We start from the raw sequence: 18,432 nt of genomic DNA on the forward strand, positions 1-18,432 counted from the left end.
ACCCTGGTAGATGGCTATTGGTCTCTTCGGGGGAAATAACAATATACATTTTTGGCAATGTAGCAGACTCCTTCCTCAAGAGGATCCAGCCTCTCCTTCATTCAGAGTTCTGAGAGTGTAAACCGGCCCAAGTCTGGGAATTGATTGAGAGGTTGTGACTATTTTGGTGATGCAAGTTAGGATATCTGTTTCCTAGAGACACAACGATTAACTAGCCAACAGCACACGTCTCTGTAAGTAAGACAATATTGTTTTAGCTCTGCTGGTAATTATAGTAATCATGCCCACCTACTTTTTGGCAATTAAGTGCCACCCTGGGGGGACACTTAGGAATCCTAGTTTGATGGTAGCAGTTTCCACTGTAAGATATATGTGACTAAAGAGAAGAGCAGCCGCAGATATCTTCAAGGATGCTAGGATTCTCCTCACAAATTTACTTCTTAGTCATGGTGAAAGGTATGTCTTCTGGACCCTCCTGGGGTGGGTAAGCAGGTCTTAAATGATAAATCCACTCTAATATTCCAATCTCCCCAAGCCTGTGGATACCTTTCTCTACAGATACCTAGGCAGTTCTGTCGCTTCAACTTCATTTAGCATAGGCCCTTCTGGGTGGATGGAGGTTAAACTATCAATGGAGTTTTCACTCAGATCCTTCTCACGGTGGGCTCAGTGGGTCCCCAAACCCATCCTGTGGTTATTTTCCTAGTTTGACATGCATAATTGGAAAAGACATACTCAGCGATTAAACATAGCATTAGAGCTTTTTCTAAGCCTCTGAGATAAAACATTGAATCCAGAATCTCTGGTGGGTCCATATCAATAAATTTGGCCTGACGGAATTTATAACCTTTCCACCTTGATCCCTATATGAGTTTCCTGGGGTGGTCATGACAAAGGACCACAAACTGTGTGTCTTGAAACAACAAAATTTATTCTCTTGCAGTTTTGGGGGCTAGAAGTCTGAAATCAGGTTTTTGGCAGGGCCAACCTTCTTCGGAAGGCACTTTGGAATAATCCTTCTTTGCCTTTTCTTAGCTTCTGCTGGCTCCTGGCATTCTGCGGCGTTTCTTGGCTTCCAGTTGCATCACTCCAATCCCTGCTTCTATCTCCAAATGGCCTTCTTCCCTCTGTGCACATTTATCTATGTGTCCCCTTCTAAGGGCGCCAACCATTCGATTTAGGGCTCATTCTATACCAGTATGACCTCATCTTAACCAATTACATCTGCAAAAACCCTATTTCCAAGTAAGTTAATATCGTGAGGGTCTAGGTGGACGTGAATTTTGGGGGATCCTGTTCAACCCTCCTCAATCCCACACCTTAATAGTCTTTGTATATTCTTTTGTACACTCTGAATTTTTTAGTATGTGCATTTATTACTTTTTCAAGTAAAATTAAAGGAGAAAACAATACCCCCGGAGTTCTGTGGCACTAAATATAAATATTCTTTCTGTCCAGTTTCTCCCTTGGAGGTCACTACTATTTAGTCTCCCTAAGCTGGTCTTCCAAGTCCTGCCCTTCTCCAAACTTTTACCAAACTGAAGACAAAGTGATTTTTCAAAATGATCTCAAGATCTGTCAATGAGGATTAAGCATAAGCGCCACAGTTAGCCTAATATGGCTTTTCATGATCTGGTCTCCACTACCCCTCTTTCAGTTTCATCTTTCAATACAATCCCCTGCTCCCTACCTGTTCCGCCCTGGACTCCTCGCGGGTTTCTGAACTGCCCAGGCCATTCCATCCCGCCCTATTCCGGGGCTGCACTCTGCTTCAGCGCTGCTTCTTGCACCCACGACTGCAACTCAACCGCAGAGGCTACTCCTCTACTCCATCCCAGAGATGAAGCATTTCGCCTTTGGATGCTTGAAAACGGTTAATATTTTCCCTTTTGTTTCTCTTAAATCAAAATGTTTACATGAAATACTATGATCCAAGAACACACACTGCTGCGCTTGCTTAACCGGGTCGAGTTGAACTAGTTCGTCTTCTCCGCCCCAACCCCGGTGCCGTAACTCCCAGCCCCGGAGCAACTAGCCTGGCCCGACAGCGGAGGCCCAAGCCCGCTGGGCTCGGGCGTTGGAACCGTCCCGGCGGGGGGAAGCCCGGGCAGGACGCAGCCGCGCTTCACAGCTGAGGAAAACCCGCTGCGGCGTAGGGCAACGCTCAGAAGCCGAGAGTGGCACCGCGACGCGCCGGAACGCGTCAGCATCCTTCACACCTAAGACCAGACTTCCTCCTCCTCACCCAGGACGCTCCCCGCCGCTCGTCCGGTCGTTTCCCGCTCTCACACCCTCTGCCAGTCCCCACACAGCTGACAAGGGAAGCAAGCCAGCGGCGTCCGGGGACGGAGCAAGCGCAGCAGCCGCAGCGCGCGGTTCCCCCTCCAGGCCCCGGCGACTCAGCCCGCACACGTGTATGCGCATGCGCCGCGTCCGGGCCCTTCAGCCTCCGGCCGCACCTCCTCGCGCAGGGTCAGAGGCCGTGGGGCGGGCCACGGTGACGCGCGCGGAAGCGCTCTGCGGGCCCTCGGAAACCGCCCCGGCGGCTGAGAGGCTGCGGCCACTGCCTGGCACCCCGACGGGAGGGGCTCCGGATCGTTCGGAGCCGGCTGAACCCCTTCGGCCGCGAGCGACCGCATGAGTCGGGGGACTATGCCCCAGCCCGAAGCGTGGCCAGGCGCGAGCTGCGCCGAGACGCCGGCGCGGGAGGCGGCGGCCACGGCGCGGGACGGCGGGAAGGCGGCGGCCAGCGGGCAGCCGCGGCCCGAGATGCAGTGCCCGGCCGAGCAGTGAGTCCGCGGGGGCGCGGGGCGCGGGCCGTGGGCGGCGGGCTCGGTCCCCTCCGGAAGCCGGGCTGGGGTGGGGAGTCGTCAGCGGAGGGTCCTGGGCGTCTTCAATTCTGAGTGAGGCCGTTGGCGACAAGGAGGAATTGGCAGACAGTTTTCCCAGTGTCCGAGTGCAGATTTTTAACCCCAGGGCCCCTCACAATTCTGGTCACACAGTGACTCCCCTCTCGTCTCATTTTTGATATCTGCATGTCTGAAGTTAAAGAAAGTTCCAGAAACTTGGGAAGCAAACCCGAGAAGTGATGTATTTTATTACTGGTTCCCGCTAGATCTTTCCTTCAGCCTGGCACAGGGAGGAAGTGAGGTCGACCCTGCTGCAGCCGCCGGAGAACGGCGCTGCGCGACTTGTTCTTGGAGGCGACGTCCCACCTGTTGGACAGACTTTGGACCCAAAGAGAATCTGACCCATTCTCTCTGACCCTTTAACGGCCTGACTAGTATGCCTTCCCGCTTTTCCTTTTGAAAAGGAAAGTCAGTGCTGGTTAGATCAATTTCTTACTGTACTGTGAAGACGACGATTTGGGAAGAGTTCCTAATTTCTGCAAGGGTCTGGGGGTACGCGTGGAAGCAGAATAGAAACTCGAGTGAAACTTTTCTACACTTTCAAGTTTTAGGCACCTATAAATGCCCTTGGAATTTAAGAAATTATGAAAGCACACAGACAGCCAGTTTGACAGATATTTTAACTGGCTGGAAAGTTAAATTTAAGATGTGTTTAAATGCAAAAAGCACTGCTAGAACTTTTGAAAAAAAAATTCCTAAAAAGGGGTCCTTTGGAGGCCTGTTAGGTAGATATTGTGTTATAATAACATATTTGCATAGTACTTAGACATTCTCATTTGTTGAGAGCCCCCTTGGGATGGTGTTATTCACACTTAATGGGTTAATGGCCACTGGAAAATAAGATTGAAAGTCAGCGGGATTACCTTTTAGCATGAGATTGGAGGGGAGAAATATCCAAATCATATCAGAGACTTAACCTCAGACTCTGCAGAGGGTTAAATAGAGGGTCTCTTGCCCCCAAGCCCTGCTCCACGGCCCGTGCTGGTTCCTAATCGCTGCTTTGCCTGCCTTCTACCCTGGTGGTGAGAACAGTGCGCTTAATTTAATGCCCTGTCTCACGTGCTGCATGCACCTCGGCCCCAGCTGTGTCATGCCTCCTGAGCAATGCAGAAACTTTGAAGCCAGACCATGTTCTCAGAAGTATATGTAGTTATTTGGCAAGTTTTCTGGTGGACATGATTCTCATTCAGAACACCTGTGAAAACAGACAATGATAGGAAGAGTGCTCTTTCTTGAAGAGTTTTTGTGGCACAGGTGCCTCTTCTGTCTGCTGCTAGTAGAACTATATAGACTTAGAGCTGAAAGGAATGTAAAAAAAAAACTAGCCTAGGTTTGTCATTTTACACATTCACAGATTTTTAAAGTGTAGCTTGGCTGGAGAGACCCTGATGCATCAATGGGAACCTCCCCCTACCTCTTCTGGGCTTCCTCAGCAAAACCAGGCAGAGAGACATGATTTATAGTGACAGCCAACTTCACTTTTTTTCCCCCCTTGGTTTGCTTCCCAAGTTTGCTTCCCAGTAGATGTCCCGGTTTGTGTGTGTGGTTTTTAGCAGCTTAATTTTGCTTTTTCCTTATTTTTGTTGCGTTTGATTATCTCATTCTCTTTCACCTCTCATAAGATGGGGCAGAACAAGAGAGGTGAGTTTAAGATGTCACCTTTTAAACATCATGTCTCAAGTTTTGGACTTTCTAGCCTTTTTCCATCTTTCTGACTCGGCAGTATCTGGGTAGTGGGCTGTTTCTCTATGGTATTTTCCTCACGGCCTAGAGAAACTAGTACAGTTGTCATATAAACAAAGTTTCCAATATAAGGTATTCATGTCAATTCCTGCATGATGATATATACAGCTTAATAGTTGAGTATCAATTTAAATAGTGTAATGTGCATTTTTAGTCTGTGTTTTTTTGTCATTGGAGCCAAGGCCTTTCTTTCCGCCCAGATAGTTGGGTTTGCTATGCAGAGGAATTATTTAAAATGTTTACACTTAGAAGTGTGAACACTGTAAGACTGTAGAAGTTTTGAGATATCCTATAGAGTCATTTTTAATACATTCAGTGGACAGTAATTACAAATACAAATCATAGCCCAACTTCTGCAGCTGAATTAGACATTCGGGATGTGACTCTGAAGGCTGTGGTGACGAGTAGAGAAAGAGATGGCTTATTTCCTAGGTAGCACACTAGGTTACTCTTGATTCCTTTCCACTAAGCTCATCGCATTTCACACGTGAGAGAAGTGGGGGAAAAGAAACATTAACCACATGGATAAGCTACATTGTTTTCTTGTTTTGTGAGACAGGGTCGCTCTCTGTTGCCCAGTTTGGAGTGCAGTGACAATCATGGCTCACTGTAGCCTCAACCTTCTGGGCTCAAGCGATCCTCCCACCTCAGCCTCCTAAGTAGCTGGGGCAACAGGTGCACGCCACCATACCCAGCTAATTTTTTTTTACTTTTTGTAGAGACAGAGTCTCACTATGTGGCCCAGGCCGGTCTCTACCTCTTGGGCTCAAGCAATCCTCTTGCCGCAGCTTCCTGAAGTCCTGGGATTACAGGCGTGAGCCACAGTGCCCAGTGATGAACTACTTTGTATATCTCATTGCAGTTTTTCTTTCCCTCCCTCTCTTCCTTCCTTTTTTCCATACACCCAGCAGCTCATTTGAGAGCTGTGGTTGGCTCACATCTCCTGGACAAGTCCTAAGGATGGCTTGAAACATAACTTAGGGTCATATTTGAAGAACTCTTTTGTCAGACCAGATTAGTTTACCTTCAAGCTCCCTCTGCTGCTCTCCTATGCTCTATCCCCTGCTCACTCCACCCCCAATATCTGACTCCTGCTGATCTGGTCCTGGGACATGGTTGCTGGCTAGGCCAGAAATGCTTAGGGAATTGAGAAGAGACTACTCCATGGCCCTTCTCTGCCTGTCTGAGGGTGAGACAGGGTTTGAATCTGTGGAGGCATACTGTCGGTGAACCCCTCTGAAATTGAAAGCAATTTTATGTATGTTTCTGGGCTTAGGTTCTGATGAAATCTGAATTCTCAGAGGGGCTGTGAACAAAAAAAGTGGCACACTGTTGTTCTTGTGGATGTATTTTCTGCCCCACCCCACCCCCAGATGCTGCTACAGTTCGGAGTAGGGATAAAGTCCACTTTCTCCCAACCTCATGAAGAGCCTGCTTTGAGGCCCAGAGCTGGGATGTCTCTAAGAATCAAACCTTATTGAGAGTGGCTGCATTGACCCCGGATACCTCTGGAAGTCACATGGAGTAGCATGAGCCAGTCGTGGAAAGTCCACTTGCAGAAGAGGGGTGGAATTTTGGCCTGGGTGCCGGTACTTTCCTGTATTTGATGTGTTGTTCACCCATCTCTGAACCGCAAAGTGGTGAAGAAAGGCTGGGTTGAGTGGTCTTTGCTTTTCCTGTGCCTGTGTGGGAAGGTGTGTTAGTGTAATATTGGTTGACACTGTCTCACCAACATTGCCTTAGTGTTGACATTAGTCTCATAGGAGAGGCTAAGTTAAGTATGAACTGCAGGGTTCAAGTCCAGAGAGTTGAATTAAAAAAAGCCATACTTAGTTCTTATAGACGACTAAGGGGAACAACTTTTAAAAAGTTCATAATGGTGAGTGATTAAAATTCTGTCTTGTTAGCTTTGCATATACATTAGAATTGATTTTTTTTCTGTACGTATTTACTTGAATCAAAAATTGAAAAACTGGCTTCACAGAAATGCCTTCGGCTTCACTAAGTTCTGCTTTTAACTCACAGCTTTTGCTCTTGGGAATAGTATAATTTTGTGTCTGTACAGTAAGCATGTTTAAAATAAGTTTTCAAAAATTGGTTGGTATGCAGGTCTTTGAACAGAACAAGTGGTACCAGTTATAATTTAGTATGCAACGTTATATAGCTTACTCAGTTGGATATGTTGCCTTAATATCAAAAATAAAATATTTTATCTCCAGGTTAAGAGAAAATAGGTAAATAGGCCGGGCGCGGTGGCTCACACCTGTAATCCCAGCACTTTTGGAGGCTGAGGCAGGCAGATCACCTCAGAGTCAGGAGTTCACGACCAGCCTGGCCAATGTGGTGAAACCCTGTCTCCACTAAAAATACAAAAATTAGCCGGGTGTGGTGGCAGACGCCTGTAATCCCAGTTACTCAGGCGTCTGAGGCAGGAGAATTGCTTGAACCTGGGAGGCAGAGGTTGCAGTGAGCCGAGACTGCGCCGTTGCACTCCAGCCTATGCAATAAGAGCGAAACTCCGTCTCAAAAAAAGAAAATAGGTAAATATTGTTTAATAGGAACTTGAAAATATACACTTTAAAATAATGCCATAGTGCAAAACTAAGTATTTTCTAACTAGGAATTGTTAGCATTTGGTTTTAAAATTTAGGCTGAGCACGGTGGCTCACACCTGTAATCCCAGCTCTTTGGGAGATCAAGGTGGGAGGATCTCTTGAGCCCAGGACTTTGAGACCATCCTGGACAACATAGTGAGACCCTGACTCTATAACAAATTTTAAAAATTAGCCAGATGTGGTGGTGCATGCCTGTGGTCTCAGCTACTTGAGCCTGAGATGGGAAGACTGCTTGAGCCCAGGAGGTCGAAGCTGCAGTGAGCTGTGGTTGCACGGCTGTAGTCTAGTCTGGGCAACAGAGTGAGACCCTTTCTCAAAAAACGTATATATAATTTTTTAAATCGGCTTAATTATTTTTAAGTTGTACATATTTATGGGGCACATAGTGATGTTTTGGTACACATAACTATAGTGATCAGGGTAATTAGCATGTCCATCATCTCAAACATTTATCATTTCTTTGTTTTGGGAACACCTAATATCCTTCTAGCTGTTTGAATCTATATAGTAGATTATTAACTGTAGTTATCCTACAATGGTATAGAACACTAGAACTTACTCCTTCTATCCAGCTGTAGTTTTATCCTTTATTTGTATCCTTTAACAAATTTTAACTGTGGAATTGAGGTTGACTGCCAGAAAATCAAGTCATTTAGACTTTGGCTTAACTTTTCTTTACCACACAAAGAATGTGTGATCTGGTGATCACCTGAGTCACTGAGCTTCAGTGGTTTCTTTTGTGTCAGAGTGGATACCTCTCCACCACCACCCCAACTTGACACACAAAAGGTTGCCAAATCCCTTTTCCTCATTGTTTTATTATCTTCCCATCCCATAACAAAAACGTAAACTTAACCTCTACCTGTTCCAGATTCCTGGCCTTTAGTATCATTTCATTGTGTCATTGTTTTCAGCTTTATTATTTTAATACTTAAAAAATTAAAGCAAAAGTTTATTGAGTGAAGTATTTTTAAAATAAAATTATTATTTTTTGGCTCTGTTTCTTCCTCTCTTTCTGTTTGCTTATCTTTCTATTAGACGGGTAACTATTTCATTCTGCCTGCGAAATGTCCTCCTTCCTGAATATATTGATTGCGCTTCATTGCTCAAACCTAAAACTTATTCTTCGGGATTATTTTTTAAAAATTAATTAACTAATTTTTTTTAGTGACAGGGTCTCACTCTATTGCCTGGGCAGGAGTGCAGTGGTGTGATCATAGCTCACTGCAGCCTCCAACTCCTAGGCTTAAGTGATCCTCTCTCCTCAGCCTCCTTTCTAGGGGGGATTACAGGTGAGTGCCAGCATGTCCAATTAATTTTTTTTTTTTTTTGTAGAGGCGGGGTCTTGCTTTATGCCCAGGCTGGTATTGAACTCCTGGCTTTAAGCAGGATTATTTTTATTTTAATGGTGGCCTTTAGTAAAGGCTGTGTTACATTTTCTGTATGTCCTTGGTGGCCATGAAGTAAGCAGATGTTTGTGCACAGGATCTGAGTGAAATTCAGTTGTGGTTAAAGCAATTTGATTATACTCTGGTTCTCTTATTCTTCCATTTCTGCTTTGCTTTTTTCATATATCCTGAATCTGTGCTCTTTATTTCCAGTAATTTCCCGTTCAGCTTCCCTTTGCATTTAGTTCTCCTGTTTGTTCTGCTGTTTGTTTCCTTTCCTTTCCTGTTGGCCTTTGTAGGAATTTGTACTTGTGGGATGGAGAGTTGCTTGTTTAGAGAACCTCCTCTGGGCATTGATGTTGGATTTTGGTTATTTTGTAGATTAAAAAGAAAGAGAACAAAAGTGGAGCCAAATGTGCATGTAGTATAGCCACAGATTTTGCTCGAAGTACAGTTTTCGTAGACTTAGACTAAAGAACTGGAAGAGGAACCATGTAGCTTACACGGCCTCTTCCAGTCTTCTCATTTTGAAGATGAGAAAACTGAGGCCGTGGGGAAGTGGCTTGCCCAAAGATATATGCCTCTGATAATGATACTATGAAAGTGCTTTGCTTAAATGTCTGTTTTACAGGATTGGAATTTGTCCCTTATTTTATAAAGCCAGGAAAGGGGCTGAAAGATGTTAAATTATTGAGAGAAGAACGAACACATTTGGTCACTTTTGATTTTAGGCCTTTGATGTATGGTCCCCATGAATCAGGTTTCTGTTTGTTTTTACCTCTGGCATGGGCTCTAAGGATGACATCACACTTTTTACTTGAAATCTCACTGGAAGCAAAAGCACATGGAAAGTACCTTTTTCTGATACTTGTTCCCTTACCCTCACAACGTTAAAATACACACAGTTACACATTTAGAGAGAAAAAAAGAAATAAAAATTGATAATTGGTCAGATTGTTCATTAATACTTTGCAACAGTGGATATAAAATGAGAATAAGAATAGCTTACTTAATTTTGAGTGCTAATTATTTTCCATGTATCTGTTTCTTAAAAAAGCCCTTTAAGGTGAATACTCTTACTGCCCTTTTGACAGGTGGTTAAATCTAGATGCCGAGAGGTGTAGTTACTCTAGTCATAGTTATACATACAGCTAATAAGGACCAGAATGAGGACTAGTTAAATAAACCCTGGCAGTCTAATTCCTGGGTCCCCACTCCAATCATTGCACTCTGCATGCAGAGGGCTTACCCACATGGCGTGTATCGTGATGTGTTTGGCAGGGGGCAGGTCAGGAGTTGTGGGCCGTTCAGGAAGAGGGAACATCTGAGCAAATCACAGATGTATGGGCACATGATAATGTTGGTCAGGCGTTTGGACTGAAGTGTGAGTAATGCATAGGGAAATAATGGGATGCAGGCTGGAGTGGTGGGTGAGGTCCTAATTTTGACATTGGTTCCCTGAGTGGGAACCATTGAAAGGTTTTAGTGGGGACATGTGAGACTTCCTTCCTCAGTCTGGCCCTCCCAGTACCCCTTCTTCATCTGTCTCTTGCTGTCTGACTTCTTCCTCTTTCCCCCAGCTGTACTAGGCCATATACCAGGAGCTGGGGTGATGAGGGAATTGGGGGTAGGGATATCTCAGTCATTCACTGAATATTTTTTTTTTAGCCTGGCACCTCCTCCTTCCTGTGTTCCACTGGGTCTGCAGCCTTGTGTGAGGATGGGGTATGCGCTCATGAGGCAGGAGTATGGGGAATCGGGGGTCTGATCATTGCTTATGTGAAGGTCAGCTAGTCTCCTTGTTTTCTGCTCAGTGTGTTACTCATGCCTCCTGAAGGACTTGATGCCTCCAGTTCCTGAGCCTTTCTGGGGTTCTGCCAGGTTTTCTGACTTGCCTGCCACGGATGCCCATCTCCCAGCCTTGGCTTCCCTGTCCTGTGTCATTTACCACTCCATCTGCTTTCCAGCTCTTTGGACTTTCACCTGTCTTCTGGTTTCATGAAAGATAGAATTTGGGTTTCTGTTTCCCTTTATTGTCATTTTGGGGTGAATCTTGGGGGAAAAGGGGTGCATCTTCAAACCAGAAGTCCCATTCTTCATCTTTGTCTAGCATCTAGTGGATTTTTTCCCTTTGTAGTACTTAGTGGGCTCTTGCTAGTTAACTAAAGTACTAGAGACTAGGAAGCTCTGAGTAAGAAGTCGGTAGTAGCGGACAGTGGGAATCTATGTAACAGCTGCATGGGTGGCTGGTTGATTGTGGGGTCAGGAAGCAGGAGGATTTCGAGGAGGTTTTTTAGCTTTGGCGATTTGTAATAACTGATGGTCTCTTCTTGTTTTTAAGGTAGCTATTGTCAGGTTTGCTTGTGACACGTTACAAAGGTCGGCAATGGGGCCTGCATTCCTATATAAATATTTTTATCAGCACTATCTCCATTCTTGGAACTTGACAGAATCAGTTCAGGAGCTTCACTAATAAGATGCATGCTATGATGTCTAGATATATAGTTGAGGCACTAATAGGCATTACAATTAAAATGCCTTCAGAGCTACCTAGCAAATGAAGTGATGTAACTTGTCTTATTTAAGTAAGAAATTCTGAAGTAGAAGAAAGTGGTGAGATAGAAACATAAGCATCTTTATTCTTAAGATAGAAGACTCATATTTTATTAGATTATCATCATGTAAAGTGAAAAAAGTTAAACCCTTAGTATATTATGCATTTGTAAGCAGCTGTATAATAGGACGGAAAATGTCAGTGCAACAAGTGTTTGAAAATGTCTGCTTTGGTGTAATTTCAGTGAGGAGGACATGTACCGTGCTGCAGATGAAATAGAAAAGGAGAAAGAATTGCTTATACATGAAAGAGGGGCATCAGGTATGTTTGGAATTGTTTTATTTATAGAGTTCTTATTGTTTATAGCAGAAAATGCAGTTAAATCCGTATAACCATTTTCATAAAATATCAATAAAATATTCTTATGTATATGGTCTTATCTACATTGATTGTTTTGCTGAAGTATGTTAGAGACTGTTTCCTGAGGCTTTTAAATTTTAATGCAAACATTCTCTCTGCATTCTTTACATTCATATCGTTTTTCACACCTATGAGGATTGTTTTGTTTAATCTCTTGACACCGTCCTCTCTCAGTTCTTGATTTCCTTATATTCTTAGAGGGAGAGTTCAGATTTGAAGTGCATTTTTCATTTCAAATGGAAAGACTTAACTGAGAAACTGGCTGTGCACATCTTTGCATGCAGATGGCCATATGAATGTGATTAAGTAATAAGAAAGACAGTGATGGGATCAGTAGCACAGAGTCTCATCGTTTTGTGATTTCATGTCTGTGTTTTTCTTGTCTTGCCTGATCTTACCCCAACCAGGACCCATTGCTGCCGGAGTGAGGTGTTACTCCTGGACCCCTCCGCTGGTCCGTGGAGACTTGGCTGGCAAAGTTGCATGTGACGTACATCCTTAGTTCCCTGAGTGGCCTCATGCAGGAGCTGCATAGGGTTACTCTGATTTTGGGATATCCCGTGAATAATCACAAGTGGCATTTTCTCTTTCATTACCTGTGTAATGTATAAGGAGACTTCAAAACGGTTGTGGAAAAATGGAATTGAAAGATAGAAGGCTGGGTGTGGTGGATCATGCCCGTAATCCCAGCACTTGGGGAGGCCGAGGCGGGCGGATTGCTTGAGTCCAGGAGTTCGAGACCGGCCTGGGCAAACAAGGAGACCTTGTGTCTACAAAAAATACAAAAATTAATCGGGCGTGGTGGTGTACGTTTGTGGTGCCAGCTACTCAGGAGGCGGAGGTGGGAGGATCGCTTGAGCCTGGGAGTTTGAGGATGTAGTGAGCCGTGATTGCATTACTGCACTCCAACCTGGGTAACAGTGAGACCTTGTCTCAAAAAAAAAATAAAAAATAAAAATATAAACCTTATTTCTCAACATAAGCTCCATCAGTTTCAAGCCACTTTTAAATGATGATACCAGCCATTTGTTGGACTCATCCCTAAAGAACTGACAGGCCTGGGAATTTAACAATGTGAATGCAGCAGTCTTTTTTGCATTATTAGCTGAAGAAAAATGTGTGTCCTTTAAAGCTTCTTAAGATTAGGAAACAAAAGGAAGTCAGAAGGAGCCAGATCAGGACTGTAAGGTGGATGCCTAATGATTTCTCATTGAAATTCTTGCCGTTGTTTGATGTTTTTTCTTGCTTTAATTTTAGCAGAACTCATGTTGCTCTAATAGGGGCTCTTTTCAAGCTGATGTCTTATCCTTCTTAGTGCCTTAGACTAGATCCTGTTCATACATGTTATAACAAGTTAGTATGAGTTTATTATGGTGCCAAAAAAAATTGAAATCCGTCCATAGCTTTTTCATAAAACTCATTTTCCATGAACCTTAGAAGACCCTTGTCTGTGCTCTTCTGTTTTGAGAACTGGCTTCTGTTTTTGGTGAACAAAAGCATTGTCATGTGTGATTAGGAACAAATGATACACAGTGTGGTTTTTATAATACTTCTTGAGCCCCCCTCAAGCAATTGGTGAACTCTTCACTGTGGTAGCCACAGGAGATATTCTTTGTAGTGATGTGTGGCGGGGCCGCACCGTTCCAGTCTTCCATGAAACTTGAAGAATGCTCTGTCTCTACTCTGTGGTTGTTCAAAATTTCATGTAGGGTGCAGTGTCCTCATTAGTCAGATTCCTAAGAAGAAAGTGTGTATTCAGCTGGTGTTTGTTACCGCTGACAGTATTTCACCCTGTAGGCTCTCGGTTGTGATTCTCTTCTGTCTGGCATTGTACCCCACACGGGCAATCAAGCTTTATGGTGGGTCTTGTAACTCCTAGCTTTAGTCTGAGAGTGAAATGGATCCCTTTACACTTCTCACATCATCTCAGACCTTCTGGGTTCATTGTCTTTCTTGAAATAACATTTGTTACCCTCTCAGAGCCCAGGCTGAGGCAAAAAGTTTTCTTATCCTCTCTGTTAGTGAAAATATTTTTTTCCACCTTGCCTGAGAGTCAGCAAACAATGGTTTCCAGGCCAAATCTGACTTGCCACCTGGTTTTGTCGATAAAGATTTTTTGAAACATATTAATTTACATATTGTCTGTGGTGGCTTTCGTGCATAGTAAAGTTGAGTAGCTGTGACAGAAACCTTATGGCTCTCCAAGCCTTAACTTATTTCCTGTCTGGCCCGTTACAGACAAAGATTGAGATTCCTATCCTATTCCACCCTGTTTGAGAGTCCCTGCTTTCCGGAGGGGTTTCAGTTTTAACTTCCCGCCTTCTGAGGGTCTGATTCTTGTCTTTGTCACCCATGTGGTGGTTAAAGATGAAGCCTCTTGGTTATTTCAACTTGTGGCTTACCACTCTGGTTTTCAACTTCCCTATTTTTCTATTTTTTATTTTTTTGCCATTAGAAATGTCCTTTTTTGAAAACAGCAGCGTCTGTGTAGTTTGCAACTAAAGAAAGTTGCTTTTGAACTCCATAAGCTGCTCGAGGTCAGGTACTGCCTTGTCCTGCATCTCCAGCTCCTAGCCTGGTACCTGGCATGTAGTAGCCATTGGAGTCCTCCTCAGAGGACCACAGCAGAATGGGAATTCAGGTATTTGATGCTGCCAGCTGTGCCAGTACCCATTTTCCCAACCCTCACTACGCTACGTAGGCCTCTGATTCAGCACTTGGCTGTGGCCTGTGGCTTGATCTCTTGGCCTGTGTGAGGCTTGTGCCTCCTCCCCTCAGTCATGGGGTGCTGGGCTTGCCCCACCCTGTCCAGGTCTTGTCTTGGTGTGCACAGGAATGAGGACTGCAGGGAGGAGAGCAGGAAGGTAGATTTCCTTCCCAGGAGTCCCTTTCTGAGCTGGACATGTGCTTTCTGTTCAGGCTCATAACCCTACCTGGAGGAAAAATGTGGACCAATAAGTGTCCTGACTCTGGACATTCGCATTTCTTCCCTTTTGGGCAGGGGAATGGAAAGACAGCTACATGAGAATGCTTCCATCCACTAAGTAGACATGCAAAAAAATATTTCTCGAATTAAAAAAAATGAAGATTCTTTAAGGATTGGCTGTGCAGCATTGGTCTTTGTGGTCCCTGTATATTATACCTCAGGAGTCTGCTTCACTTTTAAGTGAATCCTGATGTGTGCCACAGATAAATATGTCTATGTTATCTGTATATGTATTATTTTCTCTTGTATGTAAAAAGTTACTTTTCTTTGTAAAAGAATTCACAGTGAGATTATTAAAAATCAGCAGTTCTTAAGAGTTTACTTAAAAAATTTTTTTTTTAAATTTACCTAAACTGCAAGGAGGATTTAGGGCCTCTTTTGTGCTCCTAATCATCCTGGCACCCATCACACCCTGGTTTATAAGTGCTTGTTGTCTTTTCTCCTCCAGCAGTCCATAAGCCCCTTGAGGATAGAATCCTGTCTTCATCACCTTTTATCCCCAGTTCCTAGCTCAATATTTGGTACATTTTAGACACTCAGTAAATATTTGTTGAATTTAGTTGAATAAAACATTTTTATTTTATGTACAACTTGCTCAGGAGTAAATATGTTGTAAGGTACTTCTGCATTCTAAAATCATTGCTAGCATCTACGTCTTCAGTAATTTAAAAAGGAAGTCAAGATGTGCCTGAAAATTTACCTCCTTTTCTTCCTAAAACACACACACTAATATGTGCATGTGCGTGTATATGCACATACCACAAAATCAAACCCCAAACCATATATATTAAACTAGGGAAAATATAAAGGCTATTTTTTTTTCACTATAACATTTGTCTGATGGTGAGTTGTATTTTTAATTTTGGGGGATGTGTTGTTAGAGTCAGGTGAGGTCTGTGGATTAACAAACATGGAGAGTTCTGTTAGTTTCTGGTTTATTATCGACCACTTTTAGGTTTTTGGGATCAGGGTAGGACATAAATACATTAAGATAATTAAATGTAATTTTTGTTATAGTAGGTGTTATTTCTTTGTATAATGGTTATAAAAAACTGATTACTCATTGTTAGAAGTGTTTTCTCATAGTTCAGACTGTCGCGTCTGTAATTTGATTAGAAAAGTATTCATGAGCACCTGTGTGTCAGTGCAGCTCCAGATGCTGAGGACACAACACAACTGAGAAACAAAACAAAGTCCCTGCCCTCAAGGAGCTTGTGTTTTACTGTATTTTTGTATGGGTGTGTGTGGGGGGTGGTGGGTGAGTGGTACAGAAAAATATTTCAGGTGTTGATGAGTGCTAAGAAGAAAAACCAAATGGTATAAGAGGAATAGAGAGCAAAAGTGTACGTGATACTATGATACAAGGTGCCAGCTGACTCTGGAGCAGAGGCCTGCATGGAGGGAGGGAGCAGCTCTGCAGGTGCGGGGAAGAGCAAGCCAGGTGTTTTGGAGAGTATTGGGAGGCTGTAGCTGGGGCTGGAGCCCACTCAGTGGGGAATGGTAGGAGCAGAGACCAGAGAGGCAGAGAGGGGGACTATATGAGGAATAAGGCCATGAGGCAGGAGCCCCTGGAGCTCTCTGAGCGCAGGAGTAATTGATACCATCTGATTCACGTTTAGATGGATCATCCTGGCTAGCTATCATGTGGATAATGGTCTGGAGAGTGTGGTGACAAGGGACACCCATTGGGAGACCCCCATGGTTATCTAGGGGTGAGGTGATGGTGGTCTGGACCAGCGGTTAGGCAGTGGTTGAATTCTGGATTTTTTGACGTGAAGAAAGAAAATGAAGAGTGAAGGGTAACCCCCAACTGAAGCAGTATTCTGATTATGCTTTGATTTATTATTTGCTTTTTTTTTTTTTAAATTCTTTAACAGAACCGAGATTAAGCGTAGCTCCTGAAATGGATATCATGGACTACTGCAAAAAAGAATGGAGAGGAAATACACAGAAAGCAACGTGTATGAAAATGGTATGACACAGAGGTGCACATATTTCAGGTCTTTCAAATAGTCTATCATAAGTTGTTTAATATGTCATTTGATATTTTTAGACATTAGTTAAAATGACTGCTATAGACGTTGTTATTGGTGTTCTAATTTTAGAGTTAAGGAAATAGACTCCAAAGATAAGGGTTTTGTTTTAAGTCACAGTATTAATATAGAATCAGCATCAGTTATTCAGTGACGCAATTTCTTTGAAAAACACGTAAATGACTGCTGTTCAGAGTTGGGCCAGCTCTTGGTTGTCCTCTTGGGGCCATTTGGGAATGTCCTTTTTGGTCTGGTGTTATAAAATAAAAGCCTCAGGGATGCCTCAGGCCGATTCCACACTTCTGCTTTCCACAGCACATTGAGTTTGCTTACACACCCTCTGGTCCTGGGGCCTAGAACCTTCTTGGACTCCCTACACAGGGGAATCAGGAACTGCTCCCTTCAAGATAGTCTCCAAGGCTGTGGGATGACATTGGAGATTCATATGATGTGGTCCTGCTGTGACTGTTTGGTCCGGTTCATTACTCAGCTCAGACACCATGGCCTACATACACCACACAGCTGATCAAGCAGCAGACCCTGTGGGCTCTACCCTCAGATGTATACCAAATCCAGTATTATCAGTAGGGTGAACCATGTGAATTGCTCAAAAACAGTCAAATAGCAGATTTAACCTAAGACTTCCATGACCTCTTGAAACCTCTGGGTTTATCTTTTGCTCATTTTTCTCTTGGGATTATTTACATTATGAATTTGAATGCACTTCTTATATATTAGAGATACTGACTGTCATATTTAATAGAAATATCTTTAACTTTTTTTGGTTAGGATTTTAAATTTTTAAATATTTGAATATTTAGTTTTTTCCTCAGAGCTCATTTTTATAGAAAATGATTGCTCATCTTTCAGCATGTACCTCAGCTGCCCATGGGCTGACCTTAGAAAAATCTAGCTGCCACTTGTAAAGCTCTGAGAGCAGATGATAGTTCTCTGCAAGTCTGATATGTAGATGCTTTGTGTTTTAGGCGTTGGTTAGAGAACTCAATTATGAAAAACCTGGAATTCTTAGTTCCTGCCAGAGGTTAAGAACATTTATATTTTTGCTAAATATGCTGTTGGTCACTTGCAGATTTTCCAACCTCTAGCCCATCAGGACCCATGGCAGTAATTAGAGCATCTCAGATGCCTGAAAACAGCTTTCACCTCCATTCTATTTTAGTCCTTATTGGCGTGATTGTCTGTTTTTGTTTCGAATATTCTTTTGGAAGTAAGTTTCTACAAATTCAGATTTAATTTTATTCTGAAATAGCCTGAGTAATTTATGCATTTGGAAAGGTACAGCTGCAGTTGGATTTGCATAAGTATTCTGGGGTAATTGAGGTTTACCATAGGCAAGAAGTACATAATTATTAGTAGGTGTGATTCTGCCTGATGGAACCTTATGTGTTACAGTGGTTGGACCACTAAATAAAAATGCAACCCTCAAAATGTTGTTATTGGGGGAAAAAAGTACTTTTATATTCACTTAAAACATCATCCTATGACTTGAACCTTGAAAACAGCTAGTAATGAGGTTCTAGTACCTGGACACACAGGACAGAGGTGGTCTGCATTGCGTCCACCCCACGATGAGGGTAACACTTCTTTCTTTCTGTGAGTGCAGGGTAGGAAGTGGGTCTTGAGTGACTGTCAATGAAAAGTTGGATGAGTTAAGGGGCTGACTCGACCCAGGGTCAGGGAGATGGTGGGCAGTTCAGTCAGTCTCAAGGACTGTGCATGTGTCTAGCTGGAGAAGCCAGGCATCATCATGCCTGCTGGGGGAC

The 18,432-nt window shown here is 43.4% G+C and overlaps 1 protein-coding gene and 1 long non-coding RNA gene across 8 annotated transcripts in view, besides 8 other annotated features; one reads left to right on the forward strand and one right to left on the reverse strand.

Moving 5' to 3' along the window:
* OTULIN-DT (OTULIN divergent transcript) lies at positions 911-2,416 on the reverse strand. 2 transcript variants are annotated; one of them, NR_168440.1, is made up of 3 exons: positions 2,246-2,416; positions 1,691-1,863; positions 911-1,127 (listed from the first exon to the last, which is right to left on the reverse strand). It is a non-coding gene; the product is annotated as an OTULIN divergent transcript (long non-coding RNA). The 2 variants fall into 2 exon arrangements; NR_168439.1 differs by having other exon boundaries at positions 911-2,416.
* Positions 1,605-2,407: an enhancer, noted in NCBI's record as "H3K27ac hESC enhancer chr5:14663902-14664704 (GRCh37/hg19 assembly coordinates)". NCBI's record gives its function as "activates a minimal SCP1, AML or CMV promoter by ChIP-STARR-seq in primed H9 embryonic stem cells {active_cell/tissue: H9 hESC(primed)}" and the evidence as "EXISTENCE:reporter gene assay evidence [ECO:0000049][PMID:30033119]".
* Positions 1,605-2,887: a biological region, named in NCBI's record as "H3K27ac hESC enhancer GRCh37_chr5:14663902-14664704".
* Positions 2,308-2,887: a silencer, noted in NCBI's record as "silent region_15943". NCBI's record gives its function as "represses an Ori minimal core promoter by ATAC-STARR-seq in GM12878 lymphoblastoid cells {active_cell/tissue: GM12878}" and the evidence as "EXISTENCE:reporter gene assay evidence [ECO:0000049][PMID:35858748]".
* Positions 2,530-18,432, forward strand: part of OTULIN (OTU deubiquitinase with linear linkage specificity) — a 51,808-nt gene continuing 35,905 nt past the window's right edge. For 4 of the 6 annotated variants that reach the window (XR_007058658.1, XM_011514151.3, NM_138348.6 and 1 more), the window contains exons 1-3: positions 2,530-2,789; positions 11,454-11,530; positions 16,493-16,587. Coding sequence is in view for 5 of the 6 variants with exons in the window: in XM_011514151.3 (XP_011512453.1) it covers positions 2,638-2,789; positions 11,454-11,530; positions 16,493-16,587 (324 nt within the window). In the remaining variant the exon portion in view is untranslated. Of the gene's footprint in view, positions 2,790-6,393; positions 6,532-11,453; positions 11,531-16,492; positions 16,588-18,432 lie in introns of those variants that run through there. The other 2 variants (XM_047417864.1, XM_017010015.2) reach the window with 2 other exon arrangements.
* Positions 4,212-4,506: a silencer, noted in NCBI's record as "tiled region #4048; HepG2 Repressive non-DNase unmatched - State 2:TssF". NCBI's record gives its function as "represses a minimal TATA promoter and a strong SV40 promoter by Sharpr-MPRA in HepG2 cells {active_cell/tissue: HepG2}" and the evidence as "EXISTENCE:reporter gene assay evidence [ECO:0000049][PMID:27701403]".
* Positions 5,811-5,970: an enhancer, noted in NCBI's record as "active region_22409". NCBI's record gives its function as "activates an Ori minimal core promoter by ATAC-STARR-seq in GM12878 lymphoblastoid cells {active_cell/tissue: GM12878}" and the evidence as "EXISTENCE:reporter gene assay evidence [ECO:0000049][PMID:35858748]".
* Positions 6,001-6,070: an enhancer, noted in NCBI's record as "active region_22410". NCBI's record gives its function as "activates an Ori minimal core promoter by ATAC-STARR-seq in GM12878 lymphoblastoid cells {active_cell/tissue: GM12878}" and the evidence as "EXISTENCE:reporter gene assay evidence [ECO:0000049][PMID:35858748]".
* Positions 6,171-6,240: an enhancer, noted in NCBI's record as "active region_22411". NCBI's record gives its function as "activates an Ori minimal core promoter by ATAC-STARR-seq in GM12878 lymphoblastoid cells {active_cell/tissue: GM12878}" and the evidence as "EXISTENCE:reporter gene assay evidence [ECO:0000049][PMID:35858748]".
* Positions 14,007-14,166: an enhancer, noted in NCBI's record as "active region_22412". NCBI's record gives its function as "activates an Ori minimal core promoter by ATAC-STARR-seq in GM12878 lymphoblastoid cells {active_cell/tissue: GM12878}" and the evidence as "EXISTENCE:reporter gene assay evidence [ECO:0000049][PMID:35858748]".

This window comes from Homo sapiens, chromosome 5, assembly GCF_000001405.40.
Source record: "Homo sapiens chromosome 5, GRCh38.p14 Primary Assembly".
Taxonomy (NCBI): domain Eukaryota; kingdom Metazoa; phylum Chordata; class Mammalia; order Primates; family Hominidae; genus Homo; species Homo sapiens.